The sequence below is a fragment of the Homo sapiens genome, chromosome 18 (assembly GCF_000001405.40).
Source record: "Homo sapiens chromosome 18, GRCh38.p14 Primary Assembly".
Taxonomy (NCBI): domain Eukaryota; kingdom Metazoa; phylum Chordata; class Mammalia; order Primates; family Hominidae; genus Homo; species Homo sapiens.
In genome coordinates this window covers 11,818,100-11,832,547 of record NC_000018.10, presented here as the reverse complement: position 1 = coordinate 11,832,547, position 14,448 = coordinate 11,818,100, and the positions used below count along the sequence as shown (strand labels likewise).

General features: G+C 43.0%; 1 protein-coding gene across 5 annotated transcripts in view; it reads right to left on the bottom strand.

Moving 5' to 3' along the window:
* Window positions 1-14,448, bottom strand: part of GNAL (G protein subunit alpha L) — a 196,422-nt gene that overhangs the window by 53,138 nt on the left and 128,836 nt on the right. For all 5 annotated transcript variants that reach the window (NM_182978.4, XM_006722324.4, NM_001261443.2 and 2 more), the window contains one exon: window positions 7,533-7,630. In NM_182978.4, the coding sequence (NP_892023.1) occupies window positions 7,533-7,630 (98 nt within the window). The remainder of the gene's footprint in view (window positions 1-7,532; window positions 7,631-14,448) is intronic.

Genomic DNA, 14,448 nt, shown 5'->3' with positions numbered 1-14,448 from the left:
AAAAATTAACTTTGAAGTTGAAATTTCATTTGTGCTAATAATTTCCAGATTGTCCTGAAAGCTGAGTATTCCAGGACTTGACAGCCATAGGATCAAATCAGTGCCAAAGAGGGCCAATGGGGTCAAGAAAACTCCTGAAAGATGACAGAAAACAGATCTGGGACTGCAGCAGAAAAATCACTTGACTTTTTTCGCTGCTCTTTTCTTTTTTTCTGGGATAGTGTCTCTCCTTAGAGAATTCAAAAACCAATTATTGAAATGGATGTACCCTAAAGGAGCTTATCATGTGTCGTACTGAGCATAAGAACCTACACTCTGTGAGCTGTGGAGTTTAAAGTTCCATTAAGCAAAGTCCGATTTTATAAAGCTATGCTAAAGATCCAATTCTCTCTGATTTTCTTTCTCCCAAAATAACCGTTTCCATGGTTACATAATCACTTAGTATTAGGACTTAGAGGAAATGCATTTTGGGGGATAATTCAGTAGAGGTTGTTTTTAAATTTTCACAGTAGGAACTGGGAAATTCAATATAAAATATAATCTCTGGTAATTTGCACAGCTTGCTCAATGCTTCAAGGACACTCACTTTTACAGAAAACACAGTATTTAAGGCTCAGTGATAATAATTATTCTCACAGTCCTGCAATCACATCAGTCCTGCAGCTGCTCAGTGCCACCTGGCTGGCCCTGCCTCACCACAGCACCTGCTCAGGGACACACAAATGGCCACCGACTGGGTCAAGTGAGCCCCAGCAACTGGCCAGTGGGCCTGTTTGACGGGACAAGGCTAGGTAAGAATTGGCCTGGCCTTAGCAAAGCCCATCTCCCCTGCTCCCTCTGGAATTGGGCTGCAGATTACGGAGTGGACAAGGTACGAGTGGAGTAAACAGGGATGGCAAAGTTGAAACGCCTGAAGGCAAGAACAGAATACTTTTCCCCATAGGGCCTTTGGCTCAATACCAGCTTCCAGATCCTCAGGAGAAAACCCCCCTTTTCTTGAAGTCACTTGGTAAGTTTCCATTCCTTGCATGCCAAGCAGCACAACACAGATCTTCACAGCCTTAGACTTTTTTCATGGGTGCTTTACAGTTTTGGAGGTCCCTATCCGCACACATATTTGCAGGCTTGGAGAGAGTGTGTGGGGGCATGTACTTTCGGTGGGTCAAGTATGAAGAAGCAGGCCTTATAAACACATATTCTGACCTTAACCTGTACTTCAGAAGAGGACCGCTGACTCACCAAGGAGGCCTGAAGGACAAGGCAGCATCTCTGTCTTCACATGAGTCCTCCCCTAGACCGTGCCCATGGCCAGGCCTGACCACAGAGCTCCCATTGCCTTTCCTGCCCTGGATTCTTCCCTCTCCTGTCATTTTTTTTTTAAATCAAGATATAATTTACATAACTTATAATTTCAAATAAGACAAAACTCACCATTTTGATGTATGCAATTCCATGGTTTCAGTATATTCACAAAATTGTGCAACTATCACCACTATCCAATTCCAGAACTTGCTCATTATCCCAAAGAGAAACCCTCCATCATCCATTAGCAGTCACTCTTAAGTTCCCCCTCTCCCCATTCCCTAGAAACCACTACTTGACTTCTGTCTCTGTAGATTTACCTATTCTGGTCATTTCATATACATGTAATCATATAATATGTGTCTTTTTTGTGTCTTATTTCTTTCACTTAGTGTGATGTTTTCAAGGTTCATCCATGTTGTAGTATGTGTCAGCACTTTATTCCTTTTCATTGCCGAGTAATATTCCATTGTGTGGATGTATCACGTTTTGTCTATACATTCTTCATTTGATGAACATTTCGGTTGTTTTCACCTTTTAGTTATGATGACAAATATTGCTATGAACATCCATCTACCAGTTTTTGTATGGAGGTATGTTTTTAATTCTCTTGGGTTTACACCTAGGAGTGGAATTGCTGGGTAATTCGATGTTGAACCTTTTGAGGAACTACTGGATTCTCTTAATTGGCAGCCTGGCCTCCTGAGGCCCTAACAATTTCAGCATCACTGAGAAGCCCAAAAGACTCCCATGACTCCTGCCATGGAATAAATGACTTTAAGAGGTCTTAGAATTATTACCTTCTTCATAAGCACTAGGGTTCAAGATGCAATTCTGAGGCTGAGGCAGGAGAATCGCTTGAACCCGGGAGGTGGAGGTTGTGGTGAGCCAAGATCGTGCCATTGCACTCCAGCCTGGGCAACAAGAGCGAAACTCCGCCTCAAAAAAAAAAAAAAAAAAAAAGATGCAATTCTGTTGAGCAAGGTGACACAGTGACTTACTGTCACACCAAGATTTAAGTCAGAGCTTTTCCAAGAGCAATTTAGATGTAAAGAAAATGGAAAACACGCAGGAATAGTGGGAATCAGCATGGGGAAAGGCGAGTGAGTACGGACCCGTCAAGGAGATGAGGGTTGGCTGTTTCCGTTAATACCACATCAAATACTGGCTCTTTTTTGGTCAGTTCACATATTTCAGATAGCACCGACTGAGCACTGACTTTATTTACTTATTTATTTTTTGAGATGGAGTCTTGCTCTCTTGCCCAGGCTGGAGTACACGGATTTCAGCTCACTGAAACCTCTGCCTCCCAGGTTCAAGCAATTCTCCTGCCTCAGCTTCCTGAGTAGCTGGAATTACAGGTGTGTGCCACCATGCCCAGCAAATTTTTGTATTTTTAGTAGAGACGGGGTTTCACCATGTTTGTCAGGTTGGTCTCGAACTCCTGACCTCAAGTGATCTACCCGCCTCGGCCTCCCAAAGTGCTGGGATTACAGGCGTGAGCTACTGCGCCCGTTGACTGAGCGCTGACTTTATACAAGAACACCCACCTAGGAGCTGGGCATTTAAATATGAATGAGACACATTCCCTGGGGAATTCAAAACCTAGTAGGCTGAACAAGACACACGAGTCTCGTGGTCTGAGGACTGCACTCAGACTGTGGTCTGAGACATGTCCTGTTACTGGCCTGATTTTGAAATGTCCTTTCTTTTATGAAGTGACGGTGGTGGGAGATGGGAGCAGCTTTTATTTTTTCTAACATCTTATTTGGCAAAGTAAAAGAATTTGGCAGCTCTATGTTGGTCTAACAGATTTATTGAAATGTTAGTTGTTTTTGAAATCCCTCATCCCTCAATTCCAGAATCTGACCCTATAGGAAAAACAAGATAGTTATTAGGATGCAAAGGTTATTGCTCCACATGATTCCTGTATGTATTAAAATGGGTGAAACGAGCTAAACGGGAGAAGTTACAATTAGCCTAGGATAGTGAGGCCTCAAGGGGGAACCAGTTTCTGTAATTCTGTCAGGCCCAGGGTTCAGAAAGCTGAAACAGAGGCTTTGGCTAAAGGTGTTTTATTCCTGACAAGCCTAGAAGGGAGTCTTGGCCTGAGGCCCTGGGGCCTCGCTCACAAGGCAGTTTTTATCTGTGGCTTTCTGTAATTTGAAGGAATAAATCTAAAAGAAATAGCAGATTTTGGCTGTGGTCTCATCTGTTCCTGGGTAACTGTGATCGTAGGCACCTCTCTAGGTGTCAGTTTCTGTATCAGTCACATTCTAGCAAGAGATAACACTTACCTAGTGCTTACTAAGTGCCAGGCACTATTTTGAGGACTTTGGATATCTACTTATTTAATCCCACAACCATATGAGAATAGATCCTGTTAATTTTCCCATAAAAGTAATTTGCCCAAAGTCTCACACAGTGGTCGGGGGTGGGGCCAGAATCTGAATTCCGATCTGCCTATTGCCAAGCTCACACCATTTCTTTTTCCATGATTTATTTTCACATATTCTATTTTAAATCAAATTATTAATTCTATTACTACGGTGATGCAGGAATAACTTGTCCATTTTTTTTTTTTACAACAGAAAAATTTCTAATGTGGCATTGAGCAGAACTGTGGTGTTCTCCAAGGCCAGTCTTTGTCCAATAAATACTGAAATACTGAAAAAGGATGATAGAACGCATATTCCACAACAGCTTCAAATGCAGAGGTGTATGAATTTTAATATTATTAAGAACTGCTTTAGAAATTCCAGTTGCTAGCATTTTCCTGGTATATTCTTCCCACCTCTAAAGCACGTGAGTTTAACATAATTCTATTGTGTCTTTTTATTTTTGAGACAGGGTCTCACTCTGTCGCCCAGGCTGGAGTGTGTGGCACAATGATAGCTCACGGCAGCCTCCAACTCCTGGGCTCAAGGGATCCTCCCACCTCAGCCTCCTGAGTAGCTGGGACCACAGGCATGTGCCACCATGCCCAGCTTCTATTGTGCCTTAAATGACTGCTTAACGATTGAAGTATTGCAGAAAGAGTGAGTGAGAGTAAGAGGAAAAGATAAAAGGCCTTTTCAGCACCTGCAAGCCTCCCAAGGCTGCTCAGACTGCATTGGAGTTCCCCTGAGAGCCTTTCCAAACTCCCACATCCAAACCGAAAGCAACCAAATAACATGAGAGCAACCACAGAACTGTATTCACAAATGTAAACTCAAGGGCAGGGCCAATTTACAAACATTATTTAAGGAAAATCTTTTTTTTTTTTTTTTTTCCTTGAGACGGAGTCTCGCTCTGTCGCCCAGGCTGGAGTGCAGTGGCGCGATCTCGGCTCACTGCAAGCTCCGCCTCCCGGGTTCACGCCATTCCCCTGCCTCAGCCTCCAGAGTAGCTGGGACTACAGGTGCCGGCCACCACGCCCGGCTAATTTTTTGTATTTTTAGTAGAGACGGGGTTTCACTGTGTTAGCCAGGATGGTCTCGATCTCCTGACCTCGTGATCTGCCCATCTCGGCCTCCCAAAGTGCTGGGATTACAGGTGTGAGCCACCACACCCAGCTATTTAAAGAAAATCTTGAAGGACTTGTCGTGCATGGCAGGAAACAGGACATTTTTAATTTTTTAATTTTCATTTTTTTGAGACGAGCCTTGCTCTGTCACTCAGGCTGGAGTGCAGGTGTACAATCTCGGCTCACTGCCACCTCCGCCTCCCAAGTTCGAGCGATTCTCCTGCCTCAACCTCCGAGTAGCTGGGATTACAGGTGTCCAGCACCATGCCTGGCTAATTTTTGTATTTTTAGTAGAGATGAGGTTTTCACCATGTTGGCCAGGCTGGTCTTGAACTCCTGACCTCAGGTGATCCACCCTCCTCGGCCTACCAAAGTGCTGGGATTACAGGCATGAGCCATCATGCCCGGCCAGGACATTTTAAATACTTTTTTCATTAATTAAAAATTTTCATGAGTAAATACTTTCTTTAGTGTATAATGGAGGTGGCTAACCCTTTCTACGGTCCTCTGAGGGTGTTTGCAGCAGGTGTGCGCTCCATTCTCGATGCTTTACTATACTTTGCCTTGCCAAGCGCGCTCACCACATGCCTGCGGACTGAGCATGGGACATCCTGTCCTTGGACAAGGTAAGAAGGAGGTTAAGTACAATCTTACTAGGACCATCAGCCCTCCTCCTTCCGGGTCTCTCCAGCATCTGGCCCGGACGACCTGTGCCCTCTGCTGGGCACTCCCTCTCTCCCAGATGTGCTGTGAGGCTCTTCCTTGTCTGAAGCTGAACTTTCTCAGGCCCAGAGCCCTTGCCTCTCTGCGGGCACTCCTCGTGTGCTCTGGATTCCCAGGCTCTGCATACCATCAGTAGCTGATGACCGGTACACTGGGGCCATCTGCCTCTCTTCCGAGCTCCAGGCTCTGACAACAGACTGACTGCTCGATGCCTCCACATGGCTCTCCATTTGGCATCTCAAACTCAACTTCTCCAAATCAGAGCTGGATCTCTTCCCTAAGTCTCCTAGATGTCCCCTTTGCAGTAAATGGCACCGTGGTTCACCCTGTACCCTCCTGGATCCCTTTCCTCATTAAGTCCACCAGCTAGTTCTGCCCTTCAGTTTCCAGCACTCACCTGCATGGCTACCCCAGCCCAACCCAAGGCACCCCACAGGGTCTCTGCCTTCTGCAATCTACTTTCCCTGACAACCACATGCTTGGAGCCTATGGCTGGGATGGCTGGTTGCTGTAGCTGAAAGAAAACCCAAGTTCCTTGCTGTGGTCTTCAGCCCTGGGGGTGTCTGGCCCCACTGACCTCCCTCACTTCTTTATGAGCACTCTTTCTTTCCCCAGCCATGCTTAGTGTCTCCTCCTCCTCCTCCTCCTCCTCTTCCTTCCCCCTCCCCGCTCCTCCTCCTCCTCTTCCTTCCCGCTCCCCGCTCCTCCTCCTCCTCTTCCTTCCCCCTCCCCGCTCCTCCTCCTCCTCTTCCTTCCCCCTCCCCGCTCCTCCTCCTCCTCTGGCCCTTGCCATGGGCCCCTTGGAGCCTGGCTCTCTGGGCTTCGCTGGGTGCTTCAGGCCCATCCCATGGGGGATGGTGAGTGGAAGTAGAACCTAGTAAGCAGGAGCTTGGGCCAACACAACCACTCCCTCCTGGAAATCAACATTCACAATGCAGCTCCACTGATTGGTTCCAAATACTATGAATTCCCAGATTTTATGCTATGGAATCTCTTCTATGTATATGAATTTTTAGAGTTTAGAGATTTAAAATGTAAAATTTTTCATTTCTTGCTATCCACAGCTTTACATAAAACAACTAGTCAACTACAATTTTTAATTATCAAAACAGCAAACATATCTAGAACTTCTTAATAATTTAACATTGTTCTAAGGACCATTATTTTCTAATAGCAATAGAATATATCTAACATAGCAAAACAAAATGGAAAAGTAAGTGTTTCAGGGAAAAACAATGAGCCAGCCCTGGCACCAAGTGTCCTTTTCCTTTTTTTTTTTTTTTTTTTTGAGACAGAGTCTCATCTGTCGCCCAGGCCAGAGTGCAAGGGCGCAATCTCAGCTCACTGCAACCTCCGCCTCCCAGGTTCAAGTGATTCTCCTGCCTCAGCCTCCCGAGTAGCTGGGATTACAGGCACCCACCACCACGCCTAGCTAATTTTTGTATTTTTAGTAGAGACGGGGTTTCACCATGTTGGCCAGGCTGGTCTCGAACTCCTGACCTCAGGTGATCCGCCTGCCTTGGCCTCCCAAAGTGCTGGAATTACAGGTGTGAGCCATCGGGCCCAGCCTTCTGGTATACTTCTAATGTGTACAGAATGATCACATTACTTTAAGAGCCTGACCTTGATCACAAGGTTCGTATTATTTTAAAATATAATTTGAGGCCCCTGCTCCAAAATCAAAACATAACAATAACCATGGAAGTTCACTTTAACTTACCAATATGCATATAGCTCTATGTAAAAGTCAAAAAATGAAGAGAACTGAAAACAATCAGGACAAAATGAACGAAACTTTCTGGTTCTCAGAAACATTGATTCTTACTGGATTTTCAATTTTCCATCTACTAAACATGTCTCATTTTAAAAGTTGATTTCTGTCATAAAAGGTTAATTATTCATTCCTTGCACTCAAGAAACTTCAGTACTGAGAAGGCAGCATAATCATGCATGCAATCATATTCTTCAAAGGGCCCTGTAACTTGTACAGGACACAACTTACTATTGTGCACAGTCAATCAGCTGGTATTCGTTGGATCTCTCAAAGCATGCCTTCACGCCTTCATCGTCCCAAAGTTTTTTCACATGGTCAAAGAATTCCTAAAGTTTGAAAGAGTTACAAATTAAAAAAAAAAAAGTGTAATAACCTTTTAAAAAGTTAAAAGGAAAAAGAAACTGCAAAAACTGTTTTTTGCAAGTAGCATTCAGATTTTCTTTGTGGAAGTCTGCATAGTAAAATGCACCGACTCTATGTTTAGTGTGATAAAAAATGTATGCATGCATGTTATCATTACTCAAGTCAAATTGCAAAAGTTTTTTGTTTTTTTTTTGAGACACAGTCTCGCTCTGTCACCCAGGCTGGAGTGCAGTGGTGCCATCTTGGTTCACCGCAACCTCCGCCTCCCAGGTTCAAGCGATTCTCCTGCCTCAGCCTCCCGAGAAACTGGGATTACAGGCACATGCCACTGTGCCTGGCTAATTTTTGTATCTTTAGTAGAGACGGGGTTTCACCATGTTGACCAGGCTGGTCTCGAACTCCTGACCTCAAGTGATCCTCCCACCTCGGCCTCCCAAAGTGTTTGGATTACAAGCGTGAGCCACCGTGCCTGGCCCAAAATCGTTTTATCATTCTGGAAAGTCCCCCAAAATGCAAATTACATCAAAGTTAATACCATATGTTAGCTATAAATACAATTAACAGCATAATTCTAAAGTATTTAGAATTCAGTAACTTAACTCATTGAACCCCCCCCCCATCTCAGCCATGAAAAAAACATGCATATTATAAGGACAAGTTTTGTCTTAGCTTCTGTCTTTTACGTTTTCTATGTGAGTTATGATTAGGAATGGACATGGTTGAGTAGATGGATTAAATTTGGCCCAGACATATTAGGTACATAAAAAAGGAACTTTAAAAATTACACTTTGAGGATGATAATTTATTTCTTTTTTCGTTTAAAAAAAACTAGGAGTTAAGTGTGAATTGTGATTTTTCGTTCATTCCAGAGCCATGAGGTCACTGTGCTCAACTTCACCTATTATTATGGCAAGCAAGATGCTCTGAAAGAAGAACATTTTTCATCTCAAAAGTAAATGAACGGCTTATGAGTTCATATTGGTAATATTACCCAAAACGGCTATGGAAGCAAATGACTACATTAGTAGCAAAACACAAAAGAAGTTACGTAAATGTTCACAAAACACTTTGTGGGAAATTCACGCCCTTCCCACAGCAGTTATTTGCCTGCCTTTGATCTTCAGGGTTCTCAGGCTCCATGGCCTGTCCCAGCGACTCCTCCTTCATGCTTATCAGCTGCCACATTTCTAGGAATCAACACAGATTCTTTGGAGAAAAAAAGAAGGACTGGCACTTTTTCTTAAGGACTCACAATTCCATACAAAGGTGGATCCAAGCACTGTGAGGGGTTTAATGCTCACAATTTGGAAGGCTCTCTTTGAAAAAACAGAGGCTAAATGATGAATACAAAATTAGGTATAAATCCTTGGAAGGGGAGTAGAAGTGAGGTACCCAGAGTGTAGGCTTTATTAGCGTTTAGAAAATCCAATTCTGATTTCACAGTATCAGAGACAATCTTGTAAGTTATGGCATAGTCTATATCTGCATCTGTCTGTCACCATTATCAGCAAACCCAAATGGTTCCCAGTTGACAAAAAAAGAGACATTCTCCCCCTGAAGGGGGTGGCTAAAGCTCTCAGTTTTCATCTTGTCTCCCTAGGTTTATGTTTCCTTCTGGAATCTTCCTCTGATGCTCCCATTAACCCAGTAAAGGAGTTTGTAGGTTTCCTTAAAAAGATTTCCTTCGAAGAGCCATCCAAGTCCATACACACGCACACGTCACACACACACACGTGTAAAGATCAATCCTGCATTATGCCGTTATCAAGTTGGCCATGAAGAGAGTGACATCGCTGCCTCATGGTGATGGGTCTTCCAGTTGCCAGCTCTGGGCACCTGATTTCTCTGGACACGACAGACGTATGATATATAAAAACTATAGACTCATGCTACATTGAAACAAATTTAACTGGATTTATCCAAACACAGGAACCACAGACACCAGATTTTATAAAAGTTCACATAAGAGTTATTCACTATAATAGGTTTCCAAATGGAATTAAAAACGACCAAGACTGGAGTAATTAATCTAAATTTGGTCAAAAAAAAAAAAAAAAAAAGAAAAAAAAAAAGAAAAACAATATTGCTCCAGGCCCTGCAGGGCAGAAAGGGCTCCAAACCGTGTGGGGTACGGTCGTGTGGTCACCCTACTACCCAACCAGCCATGGAAGTGAGCCCACACGGTGCTGACCCCAGAGCTAACAGGCATGTGGCTAGAGGTCAGTGAGAGGGTTGAGAAATTGATCTTTTTAATTTTTAACTTTAATTTTTTGAGACGTGGTCTCACTCTGCCCCTTCTCACAGGCTGGAGTGCAGTGGTGCAATCTGGGTTCATTGCAGCCTTGACCTCCCGAGCTCAAGCAATCCTCCTGCCTCAGCCTCCCAAGTAGCTGGGACTACAGCCGCGTGCCACCACGCCTGGCTAATTTTTGTATTTTCCTAGAGACGGGGTTTTACCATGTTGCCCAAGCTGGTCTCCAACTCTTAGGCTCAAGCGATCCTCTGCCCTCAGGCTCCCGAGCAGCGGGGACGACAGGTGTGTACCACAATATCCAGCTAATTTGTTTGTTCGTTTGTTTGTTTTGAGATTTGGCGGTGGGGGGGATGGGAAGGGAGGTCTCATAATGTTGCCCAGGCTGGTCTCGAACTCCAGGCTCAAGTGATTCCACAGGCGCGCCCACCACGCCCCGCCCGAGAAACCCCATCTTGAGTAGGCCCGAAGCCGGGCTGTGGAAAGCCAGGCGCGCTAAGCCCCTGGGCCTCTCCGGAGCCGCCCTCGCCCCGCGCCTGCGGTGCCACACGCATCCGCCGCTCTGCACGCACAAGACCTCCTGGCAGGCGGAGGAGAAACTGAGGCTCCTATCAGATGCCCTTGCTTTTCGACTTACTTAGCACCCGTGAAACGGAGGCCTACGGAGCGGCGGCCATGGCCTGGGCGCGTTCTGGCCACCGGGCCACACTGGATGCCGGCCTGGCCTCGCCAGAGGGCGGATGTGCGCTGCAGGGAGGCGGGAGGCCCTTGTGCTTCAGCCCTTGGTGAGCTGGAAAGGGAGGACATTCTAGCTCTGAAGCATTTACTGGGGCCCCTGCTCAAGGACCTCCCGGCTCCCTCCTGCAGAAATATCAGTATCACCGCCCCACCTGCCTCTGCAAACAGTGCACCCCCGCAGCTCCCCAGCTTGGAGGCCCTGCCCAGCGGGGCTGGGATCCTCAGCGCCCCCAGGCCTCAGCTCATTCCTTCAGGCTTCGGCTTCTGCTGTTTTCTCACTTCCTTCGCAATACCCTTTCTCATTTTGCGTTAATTTCCTGCATGTCACAGTAAGGGCCTTACTCACATGATAATCCCTATTTAAAATAGTTCTTACGTAGTTCTTATTTTGTCGAGGGTACTGTGCACAGTACTTTAACACATGATCGCATTTAACTCTCACAAAACTGGAAGAGGTCGCTGTTGTCATTGTGCTCAGATCAGTTAAGTAATCCACCCAAGGGCACACAGCAGGTAATAGCAGAATATCTTATTCCACTGCCTGTGTTTTTAACCACTATGCATACTACCACCTTTTATTATGTATATATTAAATCATCTTCTATTCTTTAGTTTTCTACTGGGTTTCTTTAAAACCACTATTTTAGAAAAACCACTCTTCGCTGGATAAAGTACAGGGGATCTCATACAAGGGTACCTTGTTAAAGCAACACAAGACACTCATGAGGATTCCCACAGGTCTGTAAAGCTCAGTAACTTCTGTGGTCCTTCCACGATTCACAAATACATTGCAAAGATGCCAAGTGTAAATTCAGTTCATGGGATAAGGCTTAATGTCCTGTTGTTGGGTAAGATTCACTGGTGAGGACTGGAACTGCTTTATAGGAGACGAAACTCTAGGTTTGAGCTGAAGCCTGAGAGAATTACAGAGAAGTGCTTGAACCAAGAATGAAGATACAGAATTTCTGGAGCATGTGTTGATAGCAAGAGTAAAACAGGGATTGTAGGCACTGTGATTTTTAAGTAGGTGATTTAGATAACACTGAAGAAACACAAAAGCGACAACAATCTCTCTTCACTTCAACTTCCTCATGGGTAAACATGTTGGACTAGCATACAGCTAAGTCCCCATGATTCCACATATTTACTTTTTAAAGGGTTCTAAAAACTTCATGGTGAATTCCAGGGCTGCTGTTGTGATTGTTACTTCAATGTTTTACATGGAAAAGTTTCAAACTTATAAAAATAGAGAGAATGAATCTCCAGGTACCCATTACTCAGGTTCCACATTTATCAACACATGGCCAATTTCTTTTCATCCATATCTCATCCACTTTTACACTGCTTTTATTATTTTGAAACAAATATTTTATTTATAAGGCAGCATATCATGTTATTTCAACATTATTTCTAAAACATAAAGACTTTTAAAAAATAGCCGTAATACCATTATCTCAACTAAAAAATACATAAACACATAGAAAAGGATTCTGCGAAGTCATTAAATATTTAGCCAGCCAGTGAAGCTTCTTAAGGTATAATTAAACATTTGTTCAGAGCTAGGCTAGGATTCTGATAGGGATCAAAATACGCCACCCCCAATTATGTGACACTGGCATATTGATTATTTTGAGCTGAAGGCAACTGAGAAACAACAGATATAAGAAGAGCTGTCTGCTCTCCCCCTTTCTGCCTAAAAAAGAGCATAAATATCCCCCACCCTGTACTAGGATAAGAGTGACCTTTATCGCAGAGACAGAGAGCTGTCACCAAGATGAGTCTGCATAAGCAAACCTTACTAAAATAGCCCTTTCTCACAATTATATCAACCCTAGGAGCCCAAATCCCCTTTCATTTGTAGTCACTTCTTCCACAATTTCTCACCCTTTGTTAAAATGGTATATAAGCTCCCAACTCTAACTTTTTTTTTTATAAGTTCCACTTCTTTTCTGTGACGCCCCTGTGCATATAAAATTAAAAACATTAATAAAATTTGTATGTCTTTTCTCTTGTTGTCTGTTGTCATTTTAATTCACAGGCTCTAGTTTTTTTCCTTCCCTATAGATCTCATACATTTTAAAAAACAACGGAGAAATTAATATGAAGAATAATTTTAGTATGTCTACATTAGCAACTAAGATAAATAATACTAAATAAAAATAATTTCAGGGTTTTTTTTGTGTGTATGTGTCTGAAAAGAGTAATTCACAGTAAAATGTAACCTGTTTTTGACATCTGAGGGTATATAAAAACTGAAAGCATAAAAAGAAAATTACTAAGTTAAATTTCTTAATTTTTTCTGTATTACTGAATATGAGAATTGCCATGTGATCTTCATTATGTTCAGCAACTGATATATGTGAATATTTGTTATTTATATTCAAAGGGATTTCAGTTATATAAAATAAAAATAATGATACCAAGTTTAAACCTATTTTTTAAAAGCAAGGCTTTAAAATTTTGAAGTACAATTTTGATTTTTAAATCAACATTTAAACTAAAGTTTAAAAAATTAAAGTATGTAATGACTCTATTTCATATTGACAACATTTTCCTTCTGATACTGCTATCTACGACTACCTTTATATTGAAAGTATACTCAAAGATAACATGAAATTCTCAGATGAGTAAAAGAAAGTTTTTTGCTTTTAAATTCTTCTTAATTACTTTAAAATGCAAACAAACAGATGACAATAAGAAGTGTAAGAATAACATTTCTTGCATAATTTCTGTGCTAATATAACACAGTCAAATGACTTTTTGGTTACACTGACATTTGGGATACATTTTTCATTTTGAAATAAAAATCAAAGAGCTATTTCCCATCACTTGACGTGAGTGTGGTGCCGTCTGTCTGGCGGCTGTGGGGTCAGGCCGCCCTGCTCCCACTCGCCATGCTGGGGGTGGCCGGTGGTCCACACTGAGCCCTGCCCTGTGGGCTGGTGGACCACATCCCTGGGTTGAGTGTGAAAATGTTCCCAACATTCGCACAATATTCTTTCTAGGGTGACTTATGAAAAATACTTCTAATTTTAGTGTCGGGAATACTCTTGCATTTCTCAAGCAACTGCTTTTTACATTTTATTATTCATTTTTAATCTGTGGATCCTGTGACTTTCCTACTGCTTTCATTTACGTCACTGAGTTCACTGTGTGAAAGCTTAGAAACCAAGTTTCAGGGTGCGTCCCGGCACGTGTGAAAGCCTCGGTCAGACACACTGAGCAGTAACTTCACTGCGGTTCCACAAAACTCACTCTCCCCGTTCCTGCCTTCATCCTCCCACATTTTCAGTTGCTTTATTAACTTGTATTGTAACTTTGTGAGCAGCACTAAATCCTTTCTGGACCAAGTGGAAGCACACACAGTCGTTTAAGTTGTTTAATGTAACCTTTTACGGGAACCTAGTGAATAATGTCCACCACTGTAATCACATGAGCCTTAGAAACAGGCAGTTTCAGGACAGTAACCACTTAAATTGAATTTTTTAAAACTCGAGTTTAGGTCTGATACATTTAAAATACACCTACTCAATTTTATCCCTTGGATAACAGAATGAGCTAGTAGGTATCCGTTGTTTCTTTTTTCAGGTATCTGGTGAATATCAAGTTAAAAGTCTGGATCTGTTATTTTGTTATTTTACAGTGTTATAACACTATGATTTTGTTATGTATAATTTCTGTCCATCCTGAAATTTAATGTTACACAGTTTATCTAAAATTCTCCTCTGCCTCCTGGGTTCAAGCCATTCTCGTGCCTCAGCCTCCTGACTAGCTGAGACTACAGGCAGGAGC